We start from the raw sequence: 27177 nt of genomic DNA on the forward strand, positions 1-27177 counted from the left end.
ACGCGGAGCGTGAGGTCCCTCCAATGCCCGGCACCTGCAACGCCTCCTGTCCAAGGGCTCTGAAAACACAAAAATTGGGACCATTGGAAAATGATTTTTAAGGTGCTCTGATGTAGAAGAAATTCCATCACAAACATTAACCTGTTTCACAAGAATCAAATATTTACTATTGTGTTTCATGGTGGCTACTTTTTAAGTCCCTTGCAAATTAAGGTAGGACAAATGTTCTCACAAAATAAACATTCTCCTGTCTTCAGAAACCACTGATAAATAGTCCAGGCCGATGGATCCTTGCCTCTCCTCAGAATAAGGGAGGGCTGTTATTTTAAAGCAGCAAATAGAACAGATCCTCAAGTGCCCTGGCGGAACAGAAGGCTGGACTGTTAAAGTCTGTGACACTCTCAGTGATGACGTTGGTTTCTAAGGGCTGCAGCAGCCATACCCAAAGAAAACATTTTATATATGATGATGTAGTAACTATACTTCAAGTCTTGACTTAAAAATGTATAATTCAACAACAAAATTACAATTTCTCTGTAAAAGGAGCACTTTTTAAAAATCCAAGCCACTTACACTGGTTTGAAAATATTTGGGGGGTCTTAACTGCTTCTGAGGCTATAGCAAGTGGTTTCTCATAAAATCAGACCCAAGGGAACTCTCTGAGAGGACCCTAGGCACTTAGATTTTATTCCGGGTATAATTTATTCCAAACAGTTTAGCAAAATGATGGTCACATTATAAGAGCATACTCTGGATGCAAAATGTCCAGGAAAGACAGAAGTAGAGGTGGGGTCCAAGAAACAATTCCAGTCTCCTAGAAACCATGCCTTCTGCTCAAGCCAAGTGCTTCTCCTGATCACGTCCTCCTGGTAACTCCTAGCAGCTGCGAGCATTGGAACATAGTCTTACCAGTTCCGGAGCCACCAGGCACCTTCTCTGAACGTCTGAACTATCAGCCCCTTCCCTCAGAGCAGGCCTGCAGGGACTCAGCAAGGCTGGGTGCTGGAGGGCCACTCTGTAGGTCTGGCCAGAGGGAGACCACACCACCCAAAGAGCCATTCAGCGACCAAGGCTCCCCTGAGCGGTCGCTGCTGGTGACACAGGCCCTTTGCTGGGAGAGCCCAGCCCTACTCAGAACAGAAGGGCTCACTGCTCCAGCCTCCAGCCTTCAATCCCAGCTGCAGCTTTTCAGCTCTAGTTTTCCCTCCAGGTTATCTTCCCTCTGTGGCTTCCAGCGGGTCACCCTGTGATGCTGCAGTTCCCCAGTCTTTGCAAACGGGGGAGAGATGACTACTGACTTCCGCGATGATTCATGCTGGTTGTTTACAGCAGAGACAGAGGCAGTGCGCTGCCTGCACGTCTTGGAATTAGCTGAGCTGTGAGGGTGCAGCGAGGCCAGCACCGGGGTTCCCGGGTATGCCAAAGCTGGAATTGTGCTGCTCCTCTGCAGAGGTGCAGGGGGAGGGGGGAGCAGGGATACAAAACCTTGCCGGTCAAGGAACGCAGTGTTCCTGGCCCTGTCTGGAACCTTCACAAAGCAGGTGGGAAGGGAAAGTGCATGGGTAAGACGGACTTCCCAAAACAGCTTCTGCCAAATGAAATAAAGAATATCCAGTTCCTCCTTTTTAAATAAATAAATATATATATATATATATATATAAAATTATGAAATAATTTAAATACGTAGAAATATGCAGAAATAATAGATCAAAGGCCCAAGTACCCACTCATCAGCTTTAACATTTTGCTGTCTATACTACAGATTTTTTTATTTTCAAAAACAAAAATGTAATCAGTCAAGCAAGCACATGGCAGCTCCTGAAGGGATTTGATGTTGAGCAATCGCAATATCAAATGAGCCCACCTCCAGTTCTCCGCTGAACGGATCAGCTCATAGGTGTTACTTCCCTCACCCTGCCACCCCCGAGTCTCTTCTGTTGCTTGTGGGACACCGTGGCGAGAGCTCCGGAGTCCAGACTCCACTGTGGAGACTGACATGGTTCCCTGAGCTCCCTGCTTGGTCTCCTGTCCTGCCTGGTCTGAAGTCCTGCCTACGAAGACTGATGGCACTGTACCAATGCAGCAGCTTCCAAATCACTGAGCAAGCAGCCCCCAGCTTCCCCTCTCCCCCTGAGCCCACCTTCTCTCCACGCTCCCTTGTCCCAGGCTGTCCATAGGCACCATTTGGCTCCAATTCCACATCATAAGCGTTTCTATGAATATAGGCTTTGTGGAATGTTTATTCATAGGACATTAATCCCAGAGGGGAATAAAAGCAGTGCTGTCCATGACATTATCTGTGTTAGCCTTGGATTGTCTGCTGTAAAATGCTAATTGCAGCCTCTGGAGTTGAGAAGGTGTTTGTAGGAAGCCTGAACAGGGAGCAGGAGGGCAGGCAGAAGAGGCAGCCCAGCCTTCTAGGATGCCAGGGCCCTCAGAGGAGGAGGAAGGCCTGAGGCCAGGCAGCAGGTAGACAAGGCACAGAGCCTGGTTCTGGAGCTGGGCCTGGGAGGAGGCCTTTGTACTGCCCAGAGGAGGGGCCACAGTGTCCCTCCAGCCACCTGCTCACTGGTTTTACCAAAGCTGGTATCCACACATCCCAAGGGTCTCCTCAGAGCCCATGCCGCTGAACAAACCCACGTTTTTTAAAATGAGAGTGACACCAGCCTGCCCATCCTCACAGTGCAGCAGGGTGTGAGTGTGCAGTGGGGAGCAGGGAGCTAAATCCTAATATACGTGATGTATTTTGAGATTCCAAGGAGCTCCTGGATATGCATTCAAGGGTGGCAGTGTTTCAGGAGGGGCAGATGGGTGTGCAGGCAGCCACACCCTTTCCCCTCCCCCTCCCCCTCCCCCAGCAATTTGTTCCTTTTCAAGTTTGAGACACGCAAGTCTTGCATCTGTGTCTCTGGAGCCGCCTACACAAACCAGCGCAGAGATCACAGGGCTGGGACTGGCTGGCGACAGTTCGCTCCCTTAACTCCAGAGGAGGAAATGGAGCCAGAGGTCGTAAAACGATGATAGAATCGAAAACAAGACCATTTCTTTCTGTACCCCACACCCTTTTTACTTTCACAATGCACACACCCACACCCCACATGCACACTCACACCCATGTCCAGGGTGGCTGGACAGAGCCCCTCCCAGTACTGCCATTCATTTTGCATACATGTTTGGCTGGCTAGTGGGCAGGATTATGTCTGAGAAAACCTCCTTTTAATCAATCTGATGCTTGCCAGCCAAGGAGCTGACAACTGTGCAAAGCACTGAGCCATGGGGCAGTGTTCCGTTTTGTCTCCTCTGGGCAGCTGACAAGATGGAGTCCCTCGGAGGTGAGAGGATGGTTTCTAGAAGCACAGGAATTCTCAGTAGTGGATTAAACTGCAATGCAGACCTTCTGCATCCCCAGTGGAGAGTCAGAAGCCTGGGAGGATGCTAAGCATTCCAAGCAAGCAGTCTTCCAGAAAACTGCCAGCTTCCCCACAGCAGCCAGGGTGATGATGGGAAGAGTTGCTGCAGTCCTCGGCTTCAGCTTGTCCAGGAGCCGGCCCAGCACACCCAGCAGACTTCCCAGAGAGCAGGGGCTGGGGGATGGGAGGGGACCCAGTCCCCTCAGACTTCACAACAGATAGCCACCTTACAGAGAGGCCCATGAAATACACTTAAAAGGGAGGAATAAGGAAGGAAGAAAGGGAGGGAGGGAGGGAGGGGGGAAGGAAGGAAGGAAGGAAAGAAGGAATCTGTCAACAGCTAAGCTATGTAAGAAGGCTCATGCTAGGAAGTCTATATTTTTTACAATGATAAGGATGCCAGTTTGTCTGGGACTTTGCTCATCAAACCCTACTCATACCCCCCATAAAATCCCTTGCCTTCTCTATCGCCAGTTCTTAAGGACTTCATTTTTTCACTTAGCCGTTAGCCATTCGTGAACCTTACAAGTTGTGTTCTGAATTCTACCTTAGCTACTAAACCATACCTAAAGATACTGGCTCAGGAGCCAGCTCAGTCTAGTCTTATCCTGACTGTCCTGACACTGGGCCGTGAGCAAGTCTCTCAGCCTGTGGAGGGGAAAGGTGCTTGGAAGTCAGGCAGCCCCGCCTGGCTGCAGACACCACACAGGCTGTGCAATGGTGATATATTGTGATTTAAAATAAGAAATGTGTATTTTGGCCTATGTCTCTGGTTTCTGGAACAGAACTCCTAAAAGAAAGACAAACAAACAAACAAACCAACAAACAAAACTTTGTGATTTCTTGAGCAATAGGAGAACATCTTTTGTTCTAACGTTTGGTCTTTGACATGGTTCTCAACATAGAGCTCCTAAATCCCTTGGAATTTCCTGGGTGATAGGAGTGCTTTTGTTCTAATGAGGCGGCCCTTGGTGTGCTCCTGAGTCAGGGCTGGTCACCAGCAAGACCAAGCTATGATTAGAAGCTTGGAACTTTCAATCCCAACTCTCATCCTTTGGGGAGACTGAGGGGCTGGAGATTGAGTTAATAATTGACCATTCCTACATGATGAAGCCTCCATAAAAATTTCTGAACTCTGGGGCTCGGGGGGCTTCCGGGTTGAGGAATAAGAACACACATGTGTGCCAGAAGGGCGGCACACCTGAGAGGGCATGGAACTTCCTCGCCGCTCCCCCATACCTTGCCTTCCACCTGGCGGTTCCTCAGCTGTATCCTTTTATAATAAATGGGTTAAAGTAAGCAAAGCCTTGCCGTGAGCGCTGTGAGCCATTCTGGCAAATGATTGAACCTGAGAAAGAGGCTGTGGGAGCCTCAGATTTGCAGCCAAGTTGGACAGAAGTTGTTTGTAACCTGGGCCCTACTACCTACAATTGCAAGAAGTAGGGGGCAGTCTTGTGAGACTAAGCCGTTAATCTGTGGGATCTGACACTATCTCCAGGTAGATGGTGTCAGAATTGAATTGTATTGTGGGACACCCAGTTGGTGGCAGAGAACTGGTCAATGTGCCAAAAACCCACACATCTGGTCACAGAAGTGATTTGTGTGGTCAGAGAGAGTACAGAGAAGGAAAAACAGTCAGTTTTTCCTGTCTTACTGATGGTCACCAAGGTTTCACCCCATGGCCTTTGGGGACCTGGGGTTGAAAGAACAACCATCGGGGGTCCTTGAAGCTATCTTCCTGCTAAACATTATCTAAAGCAGTACATCCAATATGGCAGCCACTAGCAACGTGTACCCTTTGAGCACTTGACATGTGGCCATTGGGATGTACTGAAAGTGCAAAAGAAAAAACCACTGGATTTTGAAGATAGTGTAAAAAAATAAGGTAAACTATGTCGATAATTTTTTAGCATTGATTATATGTTGAACTGATAATATTCTGATTTTATTGAGTTAAATGTCATATAGTATAAAATTATATTCACCTTTTTTATTATCATAAAATACAAATATCATAAAATTTACCTTTTCTTTTTTTTGAGACAGAGTCTCGCTCTGTCACCCAGGCTGGAGTGCAGTGCCACACTCTCGGCTCACTACAACCTCTGCCTCCCGGGTTCAAGCGATTCTCCTGCCTCAGCCTCCTGCGTAGCTGGGACTACAGGTACCCACCACCGTGCCTGGTTAATTTTTGCATTTTTAGTAGAGACAGGGTTTCACCATGTTGGCCAGGCTGGTCTCCAACCCCTGACCTCATGATCCACCCTCCTTGGCCTCCCAAAGTACTGGGATTACAGGCGTGAGCCACCGTGCCTGGCCAAAATTTACCATTTTAATCATTTTAAGTGTGCAGTTCAGTAGTGTTAGGTACATCCACATTGTTGTGCTACCATGACCACCATTCATCTCCAGAACTTTTTCATCATCCAGAACTGAAATTCTACGTTCATTAAACAATAACTCTTCATTCTACTTTCTGTCTCTATAAATTTGACTCCTCTAGGTAATTCATGTAAGTGGGATCATAAAGTACTTGTCCTATTGTGACTGGCTTATTTCACTGAACATTGTCTTCATGGTTCCTCCCTGGTGTAGCATGTGTCAGAATGTCCTTTTTTTAAAAAGCTGAATAATATTCCTTTTTCTGTATAGACCACATTTTGTTTATCCATTCATCTGTTGTTAGACACTTGGGTTGCCTCCACTAAGGGTGGTTATTGTGCATAATGCTGCTATGAACACAGTGTGCAGATGTCTGTTTGAGTCCTAGCTTTCATTTCTTTTATTTTATTTTTTATTTTTTTATTTTTGAGACGGAGTCTCGCTCTGTTGCCCAGGCTGGAGTGCAGTGGTGACATCTCGGCTCACCGCAACCTCTGCCTCCCAGGTTCAAACGATTCTCCTGCCTCAGCCTCACAAGTAGCTGGGATTACAGGCGCCTGTCACCATGTCTGGCTAATTTTTGTATTTTTAGTAAAAACTGGATTTCACCATGTTGGCTGGCTGGTCTTGAACTCTTGGCCTTGTGATCTGCCCGCCTCAGCCTCCCAAAGTGCTGGGATTACAGGCATGAGCCACCGCGCGCAGCCCTAGCTTTCATTTCTTTTGGGTATATACCAAAAGCAGCTGCACCATGTTACATTCCCATCGACAGTGCACAAGGGTTCCAATTTCTCCACATCCTCAGCAACACTACTTTCTGTTATTTATTTTTAAGTTTTTCATAGAAACCATTCAGAGAAACCATGGGTATGAAGCAGTATCTCATTACGGTATTTATTTGCATTTTCTTAATGATTAGTGATGGATCGAGCGTCTTTTCATGTGCATAGTGACTATTTGTATATCTTGTATGGAAAACCACCTGTTTCCTTTTACTTTTTTTTTTTAATGTGGCTACTAGAAAATTTAAAGTTACATGTATGGCTCACAATGTATTTCTACTAGACAGCTCTAGTCTAGAGCAAATAAAGGTACAGCTCCTACCATACGGACTGTTTTAGCAATGGAAGGAATCCTGTTATTTAGAATGTGGCAAATGCAGTTCCAATTAATTATCTCTGAGTTTCTTTCCAGGAATAATATTTTATGGTCTCTTTCTCTCTCTGCTCTAAGGACTTAACCTACTGCTTTCATGTCAAAGGAGAAGAAAGGAATCATTCCCCCATACAACGTGGAAGACCCAAAGGTTCAGGGGATCCCTCATCTCTGTAGAGTGGACTGGCTCTTCTGACTGGGGGGTGTCTTGGCTTCAGAGCTCACCACTGTCCTGTACCTGGGGGAAGAGGCATCCATGCATATAAATTAGGCTGATAAAAGTTTGCACCTTCTGAGGTTCCAAGGGAGGGACGAGATACCATCAGAATCAAGTCCCTCAGGCTGGGCACAGTGGCTCACGCCTGTAATCTCAGCCCTTTGGGAGGCCGAGGCGGGCGGAGCACCTGAGGCCAGGAGTTCGAGACTAGCCTGGCCAACATGATGAAACCCCATCTCTACTAAAAATACAAGAACTAGCCGGGTGTGTTGGGTGGGCACCTGTAATCCCAGCTACTTGGGAGGCTGAGGTGGGAAAATCACTTGATCTGGGAGGCAGAAGTTGCAATGAGCCAAGATCATACCACTGCACTCCAGCCTGGGCGACAAGAGCGAAACTCCATCTAAAAAAAAAAAAAAAAAATTTAGTCCCTTGGTCTTGGGGTGGAGACTGCAAGTTTGTTCTGCTAAGATAAATGCATTTCTTGATTCTACAAGCCATCCCACCCACAGAGGCTGCTCCTAACAGAGGCTGCTCCTAACGGATTCCTGGGAATCTCATGCTACATTTAGTAGAAGAAAGCTGTCATCATTTTCCACCATTGAACAGTTATAAGAATGGGGTAGGCTCCAAAGTTACTTTTCATACGTTTTCTTATTTCCTCTGAGGAAACAGCATCACCAGCCCAGATTTCCTTCCTTTTATCTTATTTAAAATCTCGCAAAGGCATGACCCACCATCAGGATTGAGCTTGGCACTTACAGAAAACCCACAAATGCTGTGACCTAGAACTTAATTTCAAAGGTAGAAAGAAGAAAAAGAAGAAATTTTGTGGAAAAAGCAAGAACTATCATGATGTCTGTCACTTTTTCTTTCTTTTTTCTTTTTTTTTTTTTTTTTTTGAGACAGAGTTTTGTTCTTATAGCCCAGGCTGAAGTACAATGGCATGGTCTCTGCTCACTGCAACCTCTGCCTCCCAGGCTGGAGGGATTCTCCTGCCTCAGCCTCCTAAGTAGCTGGACTACAGGCGCGCCACCACACCTGGCTAATTTTTTGTATTTTTAGTAGAGACGGGGTTTCACCATGTTGGCCAGGCTGATCTCGAACTCCTGACCTCAAGTGATCCCCCGGCCTTGGCCTCTTGAAGTGCTGGGATTACAGGTATGAGCCACCACGCCTGGCTGTCACTTTTTCTTTCTAAGAGGAATACATTTGCAGCAGACCAGCCTTTGCAATAGCTGTTAATGTGGCTTGAAAGGAAAATGAGGACAATATTTTAATGTCAGATAACAAAGTGGAAACCAGGCAACACTATGATCTGGTCACCTATATGAAAAGATAATGAAAGAGTAATACGAGGTAGAATATATTTGAATGTATTGAAGGAAAATGCTCTGTAAACATAGGCTTTATAGTTTATGTGTAAAATATAGCTTATAGAAATGTTATTTGCTGGCCAGGCGCAGTGGCTCACGCCTGTATTCCCAGCACTTTGGGATGCCAAGGCAGGAGGATGACCTGAGGTCAGAAGTTCGAGACCAGCCTGGGTAACATGATGAAACCCTGTCTCTACTAAAAATACAAAAAATTAGCCAGGTGAGGAGGTGGGCTCCTGTAATCCCACCTACTCGGGAGGCTGAGACAGGAGAATCACTTGAACCTGGGAGGCGGAGGTTGCAGTGAGCCAAGATCGTGCCACTGCACTCCTGCCTGGGTGACAGAGTGAGACTCTGTCTCAAAAAAAAAAAAAAGAAAGAAAAGAAAAAAATGTTCTTTGCTATCTAGATTCATATAAATACAGGGGACTTGATATCTTGGAAATAATAGTAACTCATGCCTTGATAAATCCTTTTATACCCTAAATTTTTGACCCTGTAGTAGAATCATCTAATTTCTCTGTAAAAGAACCATCGAATTTCCCTATAATAGAATCATCTAATCTCCCTAATGTCAGTGTCCTCATCTGAAGAATTAAAGATATAATTTGCCCTACAAGATTTGGGGGATTTTTGTAAGAACCTATTGAAATAATAGATGTATGAACATTCTAAAAAGTTACAAGTGAAATAAAAATGATTTTATAAGAGTAGTTCATTATACTAGATTTCCTATCACACTGACTAACACTGATATTCATGGAAAGAAATGAGAACCTGTACCAGCACTGTTGAAGACTGAAACAATATGGGATTTCCATCCATCCCACCAATTTACTTGGATCATCTTTTTAGGAGGCTTACAGGGAAGTTGTGCATCATATAGTTTATATTTAATATACAGAAACTTTTCTTTAAGGCAACCTGAGGCTGGGCGCGGTGAGTCACACCTGAAATCTTAGGACTTTTGGAAGGCCAGGGCAGGCAGATTGCTTGTGCAGGAGTTTGAGACCAGCCTGGGCAACAGAGCAAAACCTCATCTGTACAAAAAATACAAAAATTAGCCAGGTGTGGTGTGGTATGCGCCTGTAGTCGCAGCTAATAGGGAGGCTGAGGTGGGAGAATCACCTGAGCTCAGGGAGGTTGAGGCTGCAGTGAGCTGTGATTGCACCACTGCACTCCAGCCTGTGTGACAGAGTGAGACCCTGTTTCTAAAAAATAAAGAGACCTGAGTGAGGGTGGGAGAGAGTTAACCAAAGAAAACTGAAAATAATACTAGAACCTTCGCTATTATGGGCAGAAAGTTTCCTGCAAGCAGCAGCCAAGTTCCCAGAGAGGAAAACAGTGTGTGTCTGTGTGTGTTTAGCTTCATAATCACAGAACGCTTAGGTACTATGTTCTTTTCTCCAATCTTCCTTCTTTCCAAAAAAAAAGAAAAAGAAAACGAATATGGATGCAAGCAGCAGAGGTCTCAGAAATCTTCAGGCAGTTCTGCCTGAATTGCTAAAGCAGGGAGTAGCTGAGGGCCTTGCAGCCCATTCCTCTAGTACCTGTGGCATCTGGGGCCTGCAGCAGGTGTGGCGGTGACGCGGGTTGTTTGTTTTCCAGGGTCAGGTTGGCCCATTTCTAGCCCAGGGCTCTGGGTAAATGTTTAGATTTCATTTTCTGTCTGGTGTTCAACTCCTGGGCGTCAAAGGCAGGCCCCCTGCATGCTGCTGCCCTCCCACGTCCTTTGTCTCCTCCCCGGGGCTGGTGGGAACACTAGAGGTGAGAGGAAAGGGGAGGGGAGGGAGTGGACGCTTTGCCGAGATTCCAGCTCTCCTCAAGAGCCGCTTTCCAGGCACAGCATCCTCCTCTCCCTCGCCCTCTCTAAGGAGGGCTAGCAACGCCCCAGTACTGGGAATGGGGCTTGTTTACACAGCTCATTATTCTCGCTTTGCAGTTGCTATAGCAACCACCAGGGGTCAGTTTCTAGAAGGAGAGGAAGTTCCCTTTTGGGGAGTTAGCCTTCCAGCCCCTGTGCAAAGCGCAGCTGAAAACAAAAGCCGTAGACACCCATGAAGGAAACACATGGAAAAGCTTCCTATGACCGTAAGCATCCTTTAGGGCAAAAACCACTCAGAGACGCCACGTCTCTCCCTTGCTGAGAGTCTCCAGCACAGCTGACGGCAGAATGAAGGTCTGACCCCCGCACGGGCCAGGCTTTCCTCTCGCCCCACCCGATCCTCTCACCCCTTTGCCCTGTCTTAACGGCCTGAAGACATTCGTTGGTAGTTAAGATGACAAGGGCGGCTACCTGGGTTCATTTAAAGTGATAAGTTTCATTAATATTCTGTATTAACTGAGGACCAGGAAGATCTCTGTGAACTGGTACGATTCCCATCTTCTTCCTGAAGGGAGACGCAGCACCGCATCAGAGCAGCGCGCCCATCTCAAGATCCACACCCACGAGAGAAGAGCCGCGCTGCTTCTGTAGAGCTTGCTGGGAAGACCCCCCCAGGACGCCTGGCCAGTAAAGAGTGGCCAGCACTAACCTGCTTAGCTAACTTGATTTAGCAAACAAAAAATACAGATGCCTAGTTAAGTCTAACCTTCACAAAAACAAGGAATTTTTGTGTAAGTCTTCCACGTAGCATCTGGGCCATATATACAGTAAGTCTGTGTAATCCACCATAAGCCAGTCCTTGCCCTCCTCCTCACTGCTCATCATCGCCTCCAAAAACGTATAGCAGATTGTATAGCAGATGTATAAGTTCTCTCTTACAAGCAAATAAAGTGCCAGCTTACTGTTCAGGATGATCTAACCCTTGGACTAGCAGGCTGATCATGAAAAAAATGAAAGGGACTGATTTACATATATGCAAATCAGAGGCCAGGCTAGCCAGACATGTGAGTTCACTAATTTTCCCTCAGATATAAACACCAGCATGAGTTACTTGATTGGTAAACAGAACTCATTTTGTGAATTATCTAAAATCAGTAAAGGGTAATGATTTCTATTTGTTTGAAAGGAAAAACATTTGTACTGTATATGTTTAAAGGAATAGACCAAATTTGTTTCAGTGCTACACACGTACATGGAAGAAAGTCATATTTGCATTTATCAAAGTCACACTCTTCCCAGCATTTCTTTTGCTAAGGTTTTACTTCTTCACCAAGAAGGGTGGCTCAGTGAAAGTTTTACTGAATTTTGTGGCAATTCTGGAAAACCTAGACCGTTGTAATCCTGTGTTGACCCTAAATCCACGAACCCAAAACTTAAGGCAAAAAAAGTTAAGCATAAACTTTTATGAAAATAGCAGCTGTAATATATTCCATCAGGTCCCCACCAACTCAGACTGCAGACTCCCACAAGCTCTAATCCAAAACAGGTAATTAAAACTGTGAAGCCAAACATCAATAAAAATGTTCTCACCTGTTGCTAACTCTAAAAATCTCAATATAGATTTCAGAGAGAAAAAGTGTTGGTTTTAGAAGCTGATCCTTCTAAAGCCCAGAACACTGAGTTCTAATTTTGTCTCTTCAGTGTCTGATTGTGACCTCTGTGGAAGTCTGTAGAGAGTTCTGACTTGGTCTCCCCGTGGGCAAAATGCAGTTACTGAATTTTATGTGTTCTTCACCTAACCGAAAGTGTGTAAGAATGTCTATACTTAACACTGTGAGCGCTTCAGACAAAAGGAAGTACAAATGTGATTTCTGCTCTTCACCTTTTAAGCAACTTTAGAAGTTGGAATCAGTTGGTTTAAAGCACTTAGAAATAACTTCATTTTGGAAACCCTATTTTCATTTATTTAAACCAATAGTCCCATAGTCCTTTCTTAATCGTCAATAAACCCCTACGTTTGAAGCTCAAGCGGTCTGATAGTATCTCTAACACCATTCAACAGCTATTAGATGGGATAATCACCTGTTTATCCTCATGTCACTAATTCAAACGCTAATTGCACTCTAGACTTGGTTTATTCCCTTACTGAAGCCAGACCAGGTGTGCAAGACCCTAGAAGTATGCTGCGGTGTCATGGAACTCCAGTTTCCAGTAGTACAGACAGAACACACGCACCCTTGCACAAAAATCAGCATGTCGCCCACAACTGTGAAAAATTAGTAATTACCTAAGTGACAGATCACAGGGAAGTAAACCAAAGGAAACCAGAGCACGTATCATGCAATTAAAACATTTGTGTATACAGTTAAACACGAAAAAAACAACCATATTGAGTTAAACATAAAACTGTCTGGAATTGGTGGGTTCTTAGTCTGACTTCAAAAAGGAAGCCTCAGACCCTCGCGGTAGTAACAGTTCTTAAAAGTGGCGTATCCGGAGTTTTGTTTCATTATTACGTTTGGGTGTGTTCCGAGTTTTTCTTCTAGGTGGGTTTAGTGGTCTTGATACCTCAGCAATGAAGTTACGGACCTTCGCGGTAACTATTACAGCTCTTAAAGTGGTGCGTTTGGAGCTTTTTCCTCCCACCAAGGCTCAACAGCTTATATTAGCTTCGAAAGTAAAGCTACAAACCTTCGCAGGGAGTGTCATAGCTCACAAAGGCAATATAGTCCCACATAGCAAAACAACAAAACTCCCACAAAGCGCGAGACGACCCGATACACGTTCCCACTAACCAGCTGGGGGCAGCCTGCTTTTATTCTCTTATCTGGCCCCACCCACATCCTGCTGATTGGTCCATTTTACAGAGAGCCGAGTGGTCTGTTTTGACAGAGTGCTGATTGGTGCGTTTACAATCCCTAAGCTAGACGCAAAGGTTCTCCACATCCCCACTAGATTAACTAGATACAGAGTGTGGACACAAAGGTTCTCCAAGTCCCCACCAGAGTAGCTAGATACAGAGTGTTGATTGGTGCATTCACAAACCCTGAGCTAGACACAGGGTGCTGATTGGTGTGTTTACAAACCTTGAGCTAGAGACAGAGTGCTGATTGGTGATTTACAATCCCTTAGCTAGACGTAAAGGTTCTCCAAGTTCCCACTAGACTCAGGAGCCCAGCTGGCTTTACCCAGTGGATCTCGCACTGGGGCTGCAGGTGGAGCTGCCTGTCAGTTCCCTGGCGTGTGCCCACACTTCTCAGCTCTTGGGTGGTTGATGGGACTGGGCGCCGTGGAGCAGGGGGTGGCACTCGTTGGGGGAGGCGGGGGCTGCACAGGAGCCTATGGAGGCGGGGGAAGGCTCAGGCATGGCGGGCTGCAGTCCCGAGCCCTGCCCCGTGGGAAGGCAGCTAAGGCCCAGCGAGAAATCAAGGGCAGCGCTGGTGGGCCGGCACTGCTTGGGGACCCAGCACACCCACCGCAGCCGCTGGCCCAGGTGCTAAGCTCCTCACTGTCGGGGGCGGCAGCGCTGGCCGGCTGCTCCAAGTGCGGGGCCCGCCAAACCCACGCCCACCCGGAACTCTAGCTGGCTCTCAAACGCCGCGCGCAGCCCCGGTTCCCGCTCGCGCCTCTCCCTCCACACCTCCCTGCAAGCTGAGGGAGCCAGCTCCAGCCTTGGCCAGCCCAGAAAGGGGCTCCCAAAGTGCAGCGGTGGGCTGACGGGCTCCTTAAGTGCTGCCAAAGTGGGAGCCCAGGCAGAGGAGGCGCCGAGAGGGAGCGAGGGCTGTGAGGACTGCCAGCACGCTGTCACCTCTCAAAACTTATGTAAACAATATGGGAAAATATTTTGCACAGAAAAAGAAAAAATATGCTGGGAACTAAAATAAATCAATTTTTAAAGTACTGATTAAAAGCAAAGACAATCGTAGGAGTCAGGGATACATCAGAAGTTCCTGCTTTTTACATTCTGGAAGAGAAAAACAAAACACAAGTACAGAACTCATCAATAAGATATATTTGTAGAGTGATGATCTTAAGAAAATTTACAAAGGGCTATGGGGAAAGGGTCTGCTTTAGTTTGGGTGTTGAGGGAAGAACTCTCACAGAAAATGCGAACAATGAGAAGCCCCAAGATAGGAGTGGGCTTGGCATGGTGGAGGAATGGGCACAGGTTGGAGTGCAGTGAGCAGGGAGAGTGTGGTAGAAGGTGTGTTTGGAGAGGCCCCGGGAAGAAGCAAGGGACAGGTGCAAGGGTGGAGGGAGAGACCAGAGTACCCCGCTAGGGCCAGATGTGCAGGATAGAGCATGGGCTAGGGTGGCAACCATGGAGATGGATTCAGGTAATTTTTTGAGGGTAGAACTGGCATGAATTGCTGATGAACCAGATTTGGGGTGGAGGAGAGATGGGAATACTGAATCAAAAGAGAAGAATCTCTTATGACTCCTAGATTTTTGGCCTCAACAACTGTATCGTAGTTCCACTCATCAAGCTGAAAAGGACTCGTGTAGGAACAGGTTTGTGGTGGAATTTTTTATTATTATACTTTAAGTTCCAGGGTACATGTGCACAACGTGCAGGTTTGATACATAGGTATACATGTGCCATGTTGGTTTGCTACACCCATCAACTCATCATTTACATTAGGTATTTCTTCTAATGCTATCCCTCCACCAGCCCCCAACTCCCCGACAAGCCCCGGTGTGTGATGTTCCCCGCCCTGTGTCCAAGTGATCTCATTGTTCAATTCCCATCTATGAGTGAGAACATGCAGTGTGTGGTGGAAAATTAAGAGTTCTGTTTAGACAATTTTATGTTTGAAATGCCTGTTAGATATCCCAGTGAGGATGTCAAGTAAGGAGTCAAGAGGCTCTGAAGTCTGCCTGTCAGGGAAGCATCAGGGCTGGAAATATTTTGGAAGTCACTTGCATGTTGATGGCTTTTAAAGCAAGATACAGTATGGAACAATGTAGACAGACTACACAGAGAAGAAAGGCATCCCACAGCAGAACTAGAGACTGGGCTCAGGAGAAAGAGCCAGTAAAGAAATGACAGCAGGCACAGTGGCTCACACCTGTAATCTCAGTGCTTTGGGAGGCCGAGGCATGAGGATCACTAGAGACCAGGAGTTGAACACCACCCTGGGCAAGATCCTGTCTCTACACAAAATCTTTTTTTAACTAGCTGGGCATGATGGCATGTGCCTGGAATTCTAGCTAATTGAGAGGCTAAGGTGGGAGAATCATTCGAGCCCAGATGGTTGAGGCTGCAGTGAGCCAAGATCACACCACTGAACTCCAACCTGGATGACAGAATGAGAAGCTGTCCCTAAAAGAAGAAAGAGAAAGATAGAGAAAAAGGAAGGGAGGGAGGAAGGAAGAAAGAAAGAAAGAAAGATAGTGAATTAGAAGGAAAGCTAGGCGAGTATGGCATGCCAAAACCAAGAGAAAAAATTTAAGACAAAAGAAAACAGTAATGGTATGAAATGCTGCTGAAAGTTTGAGAAATAGTGAGAAGTTACTATGGTTTGGATAATTGTCCCCTCCAAACCTCATGCTGAAACTTATCCCCAATATTGGAGGTGTGGCCTAGTGGGAAGTGTTTGGGTCTTGGTGTGAACCTCTAATTAATGCCCCCCTTGGGGTGAGGGAGTTCTCATTCTATTCGTTCCAGAGAGAGCTGGCTGTTGGAAAGAGCCTGGCACCTCCCCCATTCTTGCTTCCTCATGTGCCATGTGATCTCTGCACATTCCCCTCCCATTCACCTTCCGCCATGAGCCTGATGCCCACAGCTGATGCCCAATCTTGAACTTTTCCAGCTCTTAGAATTGTGAGCCAAATAAACCTTCTTTCTTTATAAATTACTCAGCCTCAGATATTCCTTTATAGCAACACAAAACAGACTAAGACAGAAGCTTCCTCTGGTTTTGGCAACACGGTGACCCTTACAAGATCAGGTTCAGTGGAGTGGTAAGAGTGAGAAGAATGGGAGGGGAGGCAGTGGGTTCAGTGACCATAGATGACACACATGAGTGACCCTTGGAGCAGATCAGAGAAACAGGCCAGAGCTAGAGCTGTGCCAGCTGGGTCAAGGGAGAATTATTTTAGGGAATGATTTCAGAGCACACTTGAATATTGGTAAGAATGATCTAGTAGAAAGGATAAAAGAGATGGTGGAGGAAAGAGAGAAAAAGAAGAGAGATTACTGAAAAGCAAGCAGGATGGAATCCAGAGAAGGTAGGATTTGGCCTTGATAGAAGCAGGGAAATTTCATCCATCATAGCAGGAGAAAAGACCAGAAAGAACTGGCATAGATGTGGGTAGACCAGGAGATCTGGAGGGAACAAGGGAAGGGGGTTCCTTTCTGATTGTTTCCATTTTCTTGATGCATCCTAAAACAACATTGATAAGGTTTGTGTCTGTGCCCCTACAAAATCTCATGTTGAGTTCTAATTCCCAATGTTGGAGGTGGGGCCTGGTGGGAGGTGTTTGGGTTATGCGGGCAGATCCCTCATGGCATGGCGCGATCCTCACAATAGTGAATGAGTTCTCCCAAGATCTGGTTGTTGTACAGTGTGACACCTCCCACCCCAACTCTCTCTCTTGCTCTGGCTCCTGCCGTGTGAGACACCTGCTCCCCCTTCACCTTCTGCCATGATTGGAGGCTCCCTGAGGCCCTTAACAGGAGCCAAGCCAAGGACCAAACGCAGCTGTGTTCCAATAAAACTTTATTTATAGGCTGGGCACGGTGGCTCACGCCTGTAATCCCAGCACTTTGGGAGGCCGAGGCGGGCGGATCACGAGGTCAGGAGTTCGAGACCAGCCTGGCCAGCATGGTGAAACCCTGTTTCTACTAAAAATACAAATAGCCGGGCATGCTTGAACCTGGCAGGCAGAGTTTGCGGTGAGCCAAGATCGCACCGCTGCACTCCAGCCTGAGAGAGAGAGCGAGACTCCATCTCAAAAAAATAAAATAAAAAAATTTTAAAAAACTTTGTTTATAAACGCTAAAATTTGAATTTCAGATAATTTCTATCTTCATAAAATATTCTTCTTTTGATTTTTTTCCAACCATTTAAAAGTAAGAAAACTGTTCTTAGTTCATGGGCCTTATACACACAGGTGGCCCACAGGCTGTAATTTGCTGACCTTTGTGTTAGAGGAAAACATGCGGTTCTTTTTCGTGACAGACTGGGAAGTGAGTGAAGCCTTTGGCCAGGGCATACCTCTCTTGGACAGCGTGAGGTGGTGCGGCCATCCAGGTGCAGGGTCTTCTGAGCCATGTCAGAAACAGTTAGGGCTTCTTGCCTCCTGCTAGCAGAGATTTATTTCTCCTTTCAACTTGTATTTTCCAACTTTTCTTTAAAAACCCTGTATTAATTCCGGCATTTAAAGGTTCTGCGTATCTTGCAGCAGAGAGAAACAATTAGTCCTGTACAAGTGACCATCTGCACCTCCAGTGCTGACTCAGGAGTTGACAAGAACCCAAGCCTCACTGAGGTTTGAGTGCCAGCTTTGCAACCTTAGCTGTCTTCAGGTTGTGAAGTTCATTCCAGTCATACTGAAATTTCAAGACAGTTAATCTATAACTATTTTGGATTAGGAAATATTATAGGCATATTTTACTAATTGAATTGAGAATACCAACATGAAAAATTCTTTTTAACATTCTAATTTACTCTCAGATTTTTTTAAAACTACTAAATTATTTTTAAATCCTGTGTATCTTCATGTGTAAGAGAGAATATGAAAATAGTTTTAAATAAATTGATAGAACCGAAAACTAGGGAAAATTCAGACAGAGAAAGCATGGAGAATATAATTTCCTGTTAAGAACAAAGGAGGTGATAACAAAGGTAATTTAATTATAAGACCAAGATGAATTTAACATAATGTTCAAATGTTCATCGATCACTCATTCCAAGAATTTTAAAAGAAAATTTTAAATAAATAATTTTTTTTGGAGGGGGGGATGGAGTCTCACTCTGTCTTCCAGGCTGGAGTGCAGTGGCACGATCTTTGCTTACTGCAACCTCCACCTCCCGGGTTCAAGTAATTCTCCTGCCTCAGCCTCCCAAGTAGCTGAAATTACAGGCACTCACCAACCACCATACCCAGCTGATTTTTGTATTTTTTTAAGTAGAGACGGGGTTTCACCATGTTGGCCAGGCTGGTCTTGAACTCCTGACCTCAAGTGACCCACCCACCTTGGCCTCCCTGCTGGGATTACAGGCATGAGCCACCACACCCGGCCAATAAATTAATTTTTTTAACCAGTGTAAACTCTCTAATTTTTTAAAAGATAGAATACTGTTGTTTTTTTTCAGGCACATTTCCATGTTTTACTTTCCAGATCTGCCCCCATAAACCAAACACCCCCTACCAGGCCCTCCCACCCACCTCCAACATTGGGAATTACAATTCGACATGAGATTTGGTAGGGACACAGGCATGGAACATATCATTGTTGTTTTAGGATGCATCAAGAAAATGGAAACAATTAGAAACAATCAGAAAGGAACCCCTTTCCCTTGTTCCTTCCAGATAAATCATTAGAGTGGCACAGTATTTTTTTTTTTTTTTTTCTGAGATGAAGTTTCGCTCTCGTCGCCCAGGCTGGAGTGCAAAGGCTCGATCTCCGCTCACTGCAACTTGTGCCTCCTGGGTTCAAGCAATTCTCCTGCCTTAGCCTCCCGAGTAGCTGAGATTACAGGCATGTGCCCCCATGCCTAGCTAATTTTGTATTTTTGGTAGAGATGGGGTTTCACCACGTTGGCCAGGCTGGTCTCGAACTCCCGGACATCAGGTGATCCACCCGACTCGGCCTCCCAAAGTGCTGGGATTACAGGCATGAGCTACCGTGCCCAGCCAGTATTTTTAAAAATTCACTTTAAAATGGACATATCTGGGTTATACTTATTTCAGGGAGTTACAGACCTACCTACAGGGTGTATGTTTCAATCAAACGTCTCTAGCACATCCACCTCTATTCATAGCTTTGCCAAGGGTTGTGGAGTACCAAAAGCACAAATTTTGCCAAAGGCCATCTAGGGCATCACTCATGGTCACTTGCTGGTTGTGTGACTTGGGCAAGCTATTTACCTTTCTGAGCCTCGGATTTATTCCTACAACAAGGAAAATATGATACTTAGCACTTGGAATTGCCAGGGGATTAAAAATGATAACATATAAAAGCTCCTAGAGAGTCCCTGGGAGACAGGTAAACTCTTACCAGGTGTCGGGACTCTTGTCTTAGTTCCCAAGCTAAATGTAGCCAGCACTCTAAGAGCCTCTGTACACTGACGCAAAAGGGACAAAGCAGAGTGCTTGGCACATAGTCAGTGCTCAACACACATTTGGAGGCTGATGAGTTAATTAACTGGCTAATTAATTAATGTAACCAAGGGCCTTCCATAAAAGAACAACAAAATCACAATGATTTATTTCTATGGATGTTTTACAGTCTCTCCAATGAGTGAGTCATGTCTAGAGGGCCACTATTACACAAGGAGGGATGGAAGCTAAACAGGACCACGTTGTGAGCTGAGGGCATGGATGTTTCTCTCTTCATTTTCAACCAATTTGTTCTTTCGTCCAACGTGCTTTCAGTCAGTGCTCTAGACTTGTTTATTGGCTCCCAGCCGACGTCTCTAAGAAGGGTAGGTAGTCCTGGCCAGGCATGGTGGCTCAAGCCTGTAATCCCATCACTTTGGGAGGCCGAGGCAGGTGGATCATGAGGTCAGGAGATCAAGACCATCCTGGCCAACATGGTGAAACCCTGTCTCTACTAAAATACAAAAAAATTAGTTGGGCATGATGGTGCGTGCCTGTAGTCCCAGCTACTCGGGAGGCTGAGGCAGGGGAATCCCTTGAACCCGGGAGGCAGAGGTTGTAGTGAGCGCCACTGCACTCCAGCCTGGCAACAGAGGGAGACTCCCTCTCAAAAAAAAAAAATAAATAAATAAAAAATAAAGGGAGAAGGGTAGGTAGTCCTACACGCCACAGGGCTCCCACCACCATCCTCCTACCTTTCCTACCTTCCTTCCACTGCCATCCACCCAGGGTATTAGATGACTTGGATTGGGCAATGAGTTCCAAAGCTTGTCAATGAGATGCTCAAAGTTTCAAACCGAGGTATGCAGACACCACTGGCAGATGCAATGAACTCGATAGTCAATAAAGGTAGCATTGGAAAATCAAGCTTGGTGGCATTATTGAGCTATATTCAAAGTGAGTAAACAAAGGAAGTCAGTTGAGAGAAAAAACAAGAGCAGATGTGTAAGGAAAAGCAAAAATGAGAGGCCATGTAGCCTGCGAGAGGCCACTGGAAAGGATAGCTGCCATGGCATCCAGGAGGTGAGGGTCCTGCTCTTGGCTCTTGGGCTCCAGAGGCCCTAAGCACTCATGCCTGCTGAGTGTCCTCTCAATTGGCCAGTGACATTAATCTGTGATACTGTTGGCTGGGTCAACAGGACAGTCTGTAGTGTGAAATGGAAAATTCTCTGCAACCTCATCTGGCCCATTGGAAGCCTTGCCATTAACTATCTAAGGTACACTATCAGGCAACAAGGTGGGAGAGCACAAGTAGGTTCAACTCTCCAGATCCTTATTCCCAACTCCTTCCACCTGTCTTACCATAAGGTAAAAGCTCAAACCTCAAGGTAGTCTACAAAATGCAGCTAGAATTGTGGGCTTTCCTGACTTTTAAACTAGCTGCTTCCATGTGTGTGTGTGTGTGTGTGTTGCACACTCACAGCTGAATTGTAATTTATTCTCATTTGATTTCTTGGTGTCAGTCTGTAGAACCCCAAACCTGAATCATGGTGCCTATGCTATCCTTTTCTCACAACTCACCCTCTCTGTGTGAATTTGATTTTCAAATCCACTAGTGTTTTGAAATGTCTGAATTATTCATTCAGAGAAGCAATGCACCATGCACCAGACACCAAATTACTTTCTATGATACTTAGTCAAAGAAAAGGCCCCCTTTAAAAACACTTAATCTTAAATCTATCTAGTCTCAAGGAAGGAAAGTAAGTTCATATTCAAAATCTGTCAAGTCCTAAGTTGCCCTGGGGAAGTAAAAGCAAATTACAAAAACTGTTCCAGGGATTTGTCCACACTTGTTCATAGCTGCATTATTCACAATAGTCCAAAGTGGAAGCAAACCAAGTTTTTCTCAACAGGTGAATGGATGAGCAAAATGTGATCTATCCACACGATGGAATATTACTCAGCCTTAAACAGGAAGAGAATTCTAACACATACTAGAACATGGATGAACCTTGAAGAAATTACACTCAGTGCAATAAGCCAATAAGTATTTGTCACAAAACGACAAATACTGTATGATTCCACTCATATAAGGTTCCTAGAGGAGCCAAATTCAGAAACAGAAGGTAGGATGGGTGTTGCCAGGGGTTGAGGGAAGGGGCAACTGAGAGTTATTGTTTGATGGGTACAGAGCTTCAGTTTGGGAAGATGAAAAAGCTCTGGAGACGGATGGTGGTGCTCGTTGCACAACAGCATGAATGTACTTAACGCTGCTGAACTATATGCTGGAAAATGGTTAAGATGTTAAATTTTATATTGTATGGAAGCATTACAAAAAGTATCCTGTAAAATCCTTTCTACCTGCCCACATACGTCTTCATGATAAGAGGCTTTTTTTTTTTTTAAGTTTACTTTTAAAGAATGGAACTCAGATAAGAAAAGACCATTTGGGCAGGGCGCGGTGGCTCACGCCTGTAATCCTAGCACTTTGGGAGGCTGAGGTTGGGGGGTCACCTGAGGTCAGGGGTTTCAGACCAGCCTAGCCAACATGGTGAAACCCCGTCTCTACTAAAAATACAAAAATTAGCTGGGCATGGTGGCACATGCCTGTGATCCCAGCTACTCAGGAGGCTGAGGCAGGAGAATCGCTTGAACCCAGGTGACGGAGTTTGCAGTGAGCTGACATCGTGTCATTGCACTCCAGCCTGGGTGACAGAGTGAGTCTCCATCTCAAAAAAGAAGAAGAAGAAGGAGAAGGAGAAGAAGGGGAGGAGGAGGAAGAGGAGGAGGAAGAAGAAGGAGAAGGAGGAAGGGAGGGAGGAAGAGGAGGAGGAAGAAGAAGGAGAAGGAGGAAGGGAGGGAGGAAGAGGAGGAGGAAGAAGAAGGAGAAGGAGGAAGGGAGGGAGGAAGAGGAGGAGGAAGAAGAGGAAGAGGAGGAGGAGGAAAAGGAAGAAGAAGAAGGAGGAGGAAGAGAAAGAGGAGGAGGAGGAGGAGAGACCATTTGGGAAAGGTACAGGACCACCCCATTTGCTTCTCTGGACATAGAATACCAGCCAAGGAAAAGTTAGCACCAAAACAGGGTCAATTGATTTTGTTCCTTAAATTTGATGTCCCTCCTCATCCAACTCCTCTGCTCTCCACCCAGCACAGGCAGAGGTGACCAGTTCTTGCCCCAGGGCCTGTGCTGATGTCTGGCAGGACTCTGGAAGGAGCTTCCTCCTCCCCTTGGAGAGCATTGCCCAATGGCAGGTGGAATGAAAGGAGTTTTGTCTGAGATGTGTAGAGTAAAATCCTAGTCACATGCACAAAAATTTTCATGAATAAAGAGCTTTCATCAGAATACATTTGGATTTTGAAACAGAAAGTTGAAAGGTCTCACCACGTTTCTCAATGCAAAATTTGAAAGTGTGCTTAAAAGTCTTCCTTGTTGCTGTTGCCATTACTTAAATATGTTTATTTCACTCTGCTATTGCTAGAGATGGATAATACCTCTGAATGTGTAAGATTTCTAAATGAGCATGCTTCTTTTGTAACCTAAATCTCCCCAGGTTTTACAGCCATATGGCGCTCCTCTTCCTTTAATAGTCAATTAAATATATGCACGCTATAATCTCACAGGACGGCACAGAGACCAGCAGTCCCAATATTAACCATCCAGGGAGGGTCTGGTCCAGGCAGTTTTTTGCGTTGCCTCTTGCTACAACACCTGACTCCAGCTTGGTGCTGGAGAGCCTTAGGCCTCTGCCCTCTCTTCATAATAACCTGGTGCAAACAAAGCACCTCTCTTCCCACCAGATTCCCCAAGATGATGTGGCATTATGCATGATGGCCAATGCATGAGTACAGGGAGAAACTCGAAATAGAATATCAGACCTCTAGTTCCTAGAAATCATTGCCAATTTCTTGGCACTGGGTCCAGGCCTCTTATCAGATTGCTGGGGTCCTCACCTCTCTCAAGTACTGTTGCCCTATACCTTCTTCCCTCTGGAGGCCCCAGCCCCTTCTCTTTAGGGCTGCCAGAGGGGAATCACAGAATTCTCCTTCTTTTGTGCTGAGCCATATACCTTGCTAGGCTTCAATCTCTTCATTCACATTATGTTTTAAGCCCATTAATGTATTTTCCTGATAAAAGAGACATTTGCCTTGGTTTTTCACCATAAGCAACCAAAGACAAAAGCAACAGAAACATTTAAATTATGTTTTTATCAATTTAAAATTTTTCTCATGACTTCAAGCTTTTCCCAAACGTTATCTTCCCAATGAGGTTTACAATGGCCGTGCTGTTTAAAATAGGCAAGCTGTCGTCCTCTCCCTCCTGATCTTCTTATCTTGCTGTCTAGGATCGTGTTCCCTGGAACAAAAGGCTGAGACCGAGAGAGAGGCATGCAGCAGGCTCTTGGGGGGTGCTCAGGGAGCACACACCTGTGAGGAAGCTGGGAAGGCAGGATCGGGAGAGAGAAGCCGGCACCCCATGTGGTTGGCTGGCTGCCACTGAGGACTGAGCCAGCCTTACAGGGAGCTCTGGAGCTGGGAAGGCCCTAGAGTGTCTCCAGTTGAGGAAAGGGGCTGGGCCTTATATCCCAGGTCAGGCAGACTTGGTCATGGGCTTCACCCTGGGAAAGGCATAACTGTAAGCAAGACTGTTTCCAGAAGCTGAGGGAGGCAGCTGTGATTCACCAGCCACCGATATCCCAGCAGCTCGGGGATGGGGATATCTTCATCCTGAAGAGGAGGTCTGGACAGAAACCCATAACATCCACTGTGCCTGCTCTACTTGACTTTTTCCAATGGCACCTGCCACCTCGTACCATGCTATACACAGTACCGTGATATTTATTGCATCCCTTGTTTGTGGCTGGCCCCAGCTGCCTCTGCCACCAGCCCTGCTAGACTGCAGGCTCCATGAGAGCCAGTCTCTTGCTCTGTTTTGCTGGGCAGAGGGCTTTGCAGAACCGTACCTGGCACAGGTAGGCACTCCACAATTTTTTTTTTTTTTTGAGACGGAGTCTCGCTCTGTCGCCCAGGCTGGAGTGTAGTGGCACGATCTCAGCTCACTGCAAACTCTGCCTCCTGGGTTCACGCCATTCTCCTGCCTCAGCATCCCAAGTAGCTGGGACTACCGGCGCCTGCCACCACGCTTGGCTAATTTTTTGTATATTTTTTAGTAGAGATAGGGTTTCACAGTGTTAGCCAGGATGGTCTCGATCCCCTGACCTCGTGATCTGCCCGCCTTGGTCCTCCCAAAGTGCTGGGATTACAGGCGTGAACCACCTTGCCCAGCCCAAATATTTGTTAATAAATGAAAGGATTCACGTGTCTCAAGTTAAATACTTAGGTAGGATGCAGGTGTTCCTTACACCAGCCATCACCATAGAGAAGGCAGTGGAAGATCTTTTCTCTCTCTTTCCAGGGCAAATCTGAAAGATATTTTCTTCTCCTCCCTACAATAGACTAGTCATTTCTGTGCACTCCTTGCTTGATTAGCAAGCTGTGTAACCTTAACCTAGTCACTCAGTCTCTCAGCGCCGCCCTTCTTATTTGAAATCATTTTTGATGGATCGGAGTTGATGAAATTGACTTCCTGCTTACATATTCTAAGAATTTGTTGAACATCTGCGGATGGCCCAGCATTTTCCCTGTTATTATTTTAAAGATGCCAACTCTAAAATTCTGTGAAATATAGGGCCACATAAAGCAATCTTCTGACCCTTTGTGAATCGATAACTGCTGATCCTATTCTGCAGAAAGCCCAGGAAGTAAGTCCTGACAACATCCAGGAGCACATTCTAGAACGTATAGAATCACACAGTTAAAAAGTCTCCCTCTTTTCTAAATTCTTACTGCCACAACTAGTCATATGTCTCTTTATAAATAAGCATTTTTCATTAAACTCTGAGTTCCTCTTAGAAAAAAGCATGTACTGGCCAGGCGCGGTGGCTTACGTGTGTAATACCAGCACTTTGGGAGGCCAAGGCGGGCAGATTGCCTGAGGTCGGGAGTTCGAGACCAGCCTGACCAACATGGAGAAACCTCATTTCTACTAAAAATACAAAATCAGCCGGGCGTGGTGGCGCATGCCTGTAATCGCAGCTACTCGGGAGGCTGAGGCAGAAGAATTGCTTGAACCCGGGAGGCAGAGGTTGCAGTGAGCCGAGATCGCGCCACTGCACTCCAACCTGGGCAACAAGAGCGAAACTCCATCTCAAACAACAACAACAACAACAACATGTACCTTACTTGAAGCCCATTAAAGTGTCTGAAACCCAGGAGACCCTTGGTAAATATTTGTGGAAACTGATTAACTAAAGGGTCCATGGGTTCTAGGCTTGAAACTTTAAACTTCAGCATTCTCTTTTCCCCAATAAATCAACTTACTTAAACAATTAGACTATACCCACTCACAGCATTGAACAGCCATGGGCCAAGACCCTTAGATGATCAGAATCTTGTCTTGTCTCTTAGAGATGAAAAAACTTTTGGGAATACCTACATCTGCCTGAAGATATTTAATCAAATCTATTATCTATTTAATAATTTGCTTTAGGTGTTGTGGCTTTTAACAATGGAGTGGGCAATCAACTTCATGAAAATTATCATGCCTAACCCTTGCAACAACAATTATATGACCCATTCAACTCAAAAGGAACCTGAGGTACAGTGAAATTAAGTGGCTTGCTCACAGTCACAGAACTTGGTAGAATCTGGATTCGTAACTGGTTCTTTCTCACTGCAGTGACTGAACTCTCTCTGCTACACTATCCCTAATAGATTGCATAATACTTGTCTTATGAAGGAATAGAAAATTAATGGGGAGGAAAAGAGAGAAAAAAATCCCTTATAGTGCTTCCAAAAGGTGAAGTAGGAAAAGCAGTATTTTGACACCTGTATGCAAATGCCTACAGAGGCCAGGCACGTAACCAAAAACGCCAGTGGGGGAAGGTGGGGAGCAGGTGAGTACCAGGTGGGGCCTTTGGCTGCCTGAGGGGCACAGCTCTGTCCCCGTGTCAGTCAGCTGCTGTTGTTGGGCAGGCATTTGTTTTCATGAATCTTCTGATTTCTTTCAAGGGAAATTAGAAATTGGTATTTTCCTGTAAATCTCCTGATTTGTAATTGTTCTCAATAAATTCAAATATTTTTATTAAAAATATAAAACTATGGGAGTCATAAAAAAACCCACTACTATGGCACCATTTTGTGACCCCTGGCCCAGAGCATGAAGTCCTATAGTGATGAGGTCAGAAGAATTCTTCCAGAATTTCATAGACAAAATATTACAGAGAATAGGCTCCTGTTTGGTGCAGTTTTTAGCCCTGTTACAAAAAAGAAGGCAGGCTGTCAGCCACCTCTCATTAACCACTATGTGGAGCAACAACAGCCAACTCTTTTAGTGAAGGCTTTGAGTACCTATCTCCATTTCTCTAAATAACATGCTTATATTGTAATTTCTTGATCTTTTTAAGCTTTAGGCATTTGCTATGGACTTCCAACTCTGGAAGATGGCCATTTGGGTCTCTTTCATATTACATCCTCAACATACACTCCTAT

The 27177-nt window shown here is 45.5% G+C and overlaps 3 long non-coding RNA genes across 5 annotated transcripts in view, besides 2 other annotated features; 1 reads left to right on the forward strand and 2 right to left on the reverse strand.

Annotated features, from left to right (window-relative positions):
* The window catches only part of LOC101928004 (uncharacterized), a 106380-nt gene that overhangs the window by 54073 nt on the left and 25130 nt on the right, over positions 1–27177 (reverse strand). The window lies entirely within an intron of this gene.
* Positions 1148–1765: an enhancer, noted in NCBI's record as "H3K27ac-H3K4me1 hESC enhancer chr6:6750245-6750862 (GRCh37/hg19 assembly coordinates)". NCBI's record gives its function as "activates a minimal SCP1, AML or CMV promoter by ChIP-STARR-seq in naive H9 embryonic stem cells {active_cell/tissue: H9 hESC(naive)}" and the evidence as "EXISTENCE:reporter gene assay evidence [ECO:0000049][PMID:30033119]".
* Positions 2386–3003: an enhancer, noted in NCBI's record as "H3K4me1 hESC enhancer chr6:6751483-6752100 (GRCh37/hg19 assembly coordinates)". NCBI's record gives its function as "activates a minimal SCP1, AML or CMV promoter by ChIP-STARR-seq in primed H9 embryonic stem cells {active_cell/tissue: H9 hESC(primed)}" and the evidence as "EXISTENCE:reporter gene assay evidence [ECO:0000049][PMID:30033119]".
* Positions 3042–10438, reverse strand: LOC105374901 (uncharacterized). Of its 2 annotated transcripts, none has more exons than NR_187807.1 (2): positions 10091–10438; positions 3042–3661 (listed from the first exon to the last, which is right to left on the reverse strand). It is a non-coding gene; the product is annotated as an uncharacterized LOC105374901 (long non-coding RNA). The 2 variants fall into 2 exon arrangements; NR_187808.1 differs by lacking the exon at positions 3042–3661 and adding an exon at positions 9412–9580.
* LOC124901254 (uncharacterized) lies at positions 10492–11130 on the forward strand. 2 transcript variants are annotated; one of them, XR_007059436.1, is made up of 2 exons: positions 10492–10631; positions 10937–11130. It is a non-coding gene; the product is annotated as an uncharacterized LOC124901254 (long non-coding RNA). The 2 variants fall into 2 exon arrangements; XR_007059437.1 differs by having other exon boundaries at positions 10502–10631; positions 10887–11130.

This window comes from Homo sapiens, chromosome 6 (assembly GCF_000001405.40).
Source record: "Homo sapiens chromosome 6, GRCh38.p14 Primary Assembly".
Lineage (NCBI taxonomy): Eukaryota > Metazoa > Chordata > Mammalia > Primates > Hominidae > Homo > Homo sapiens.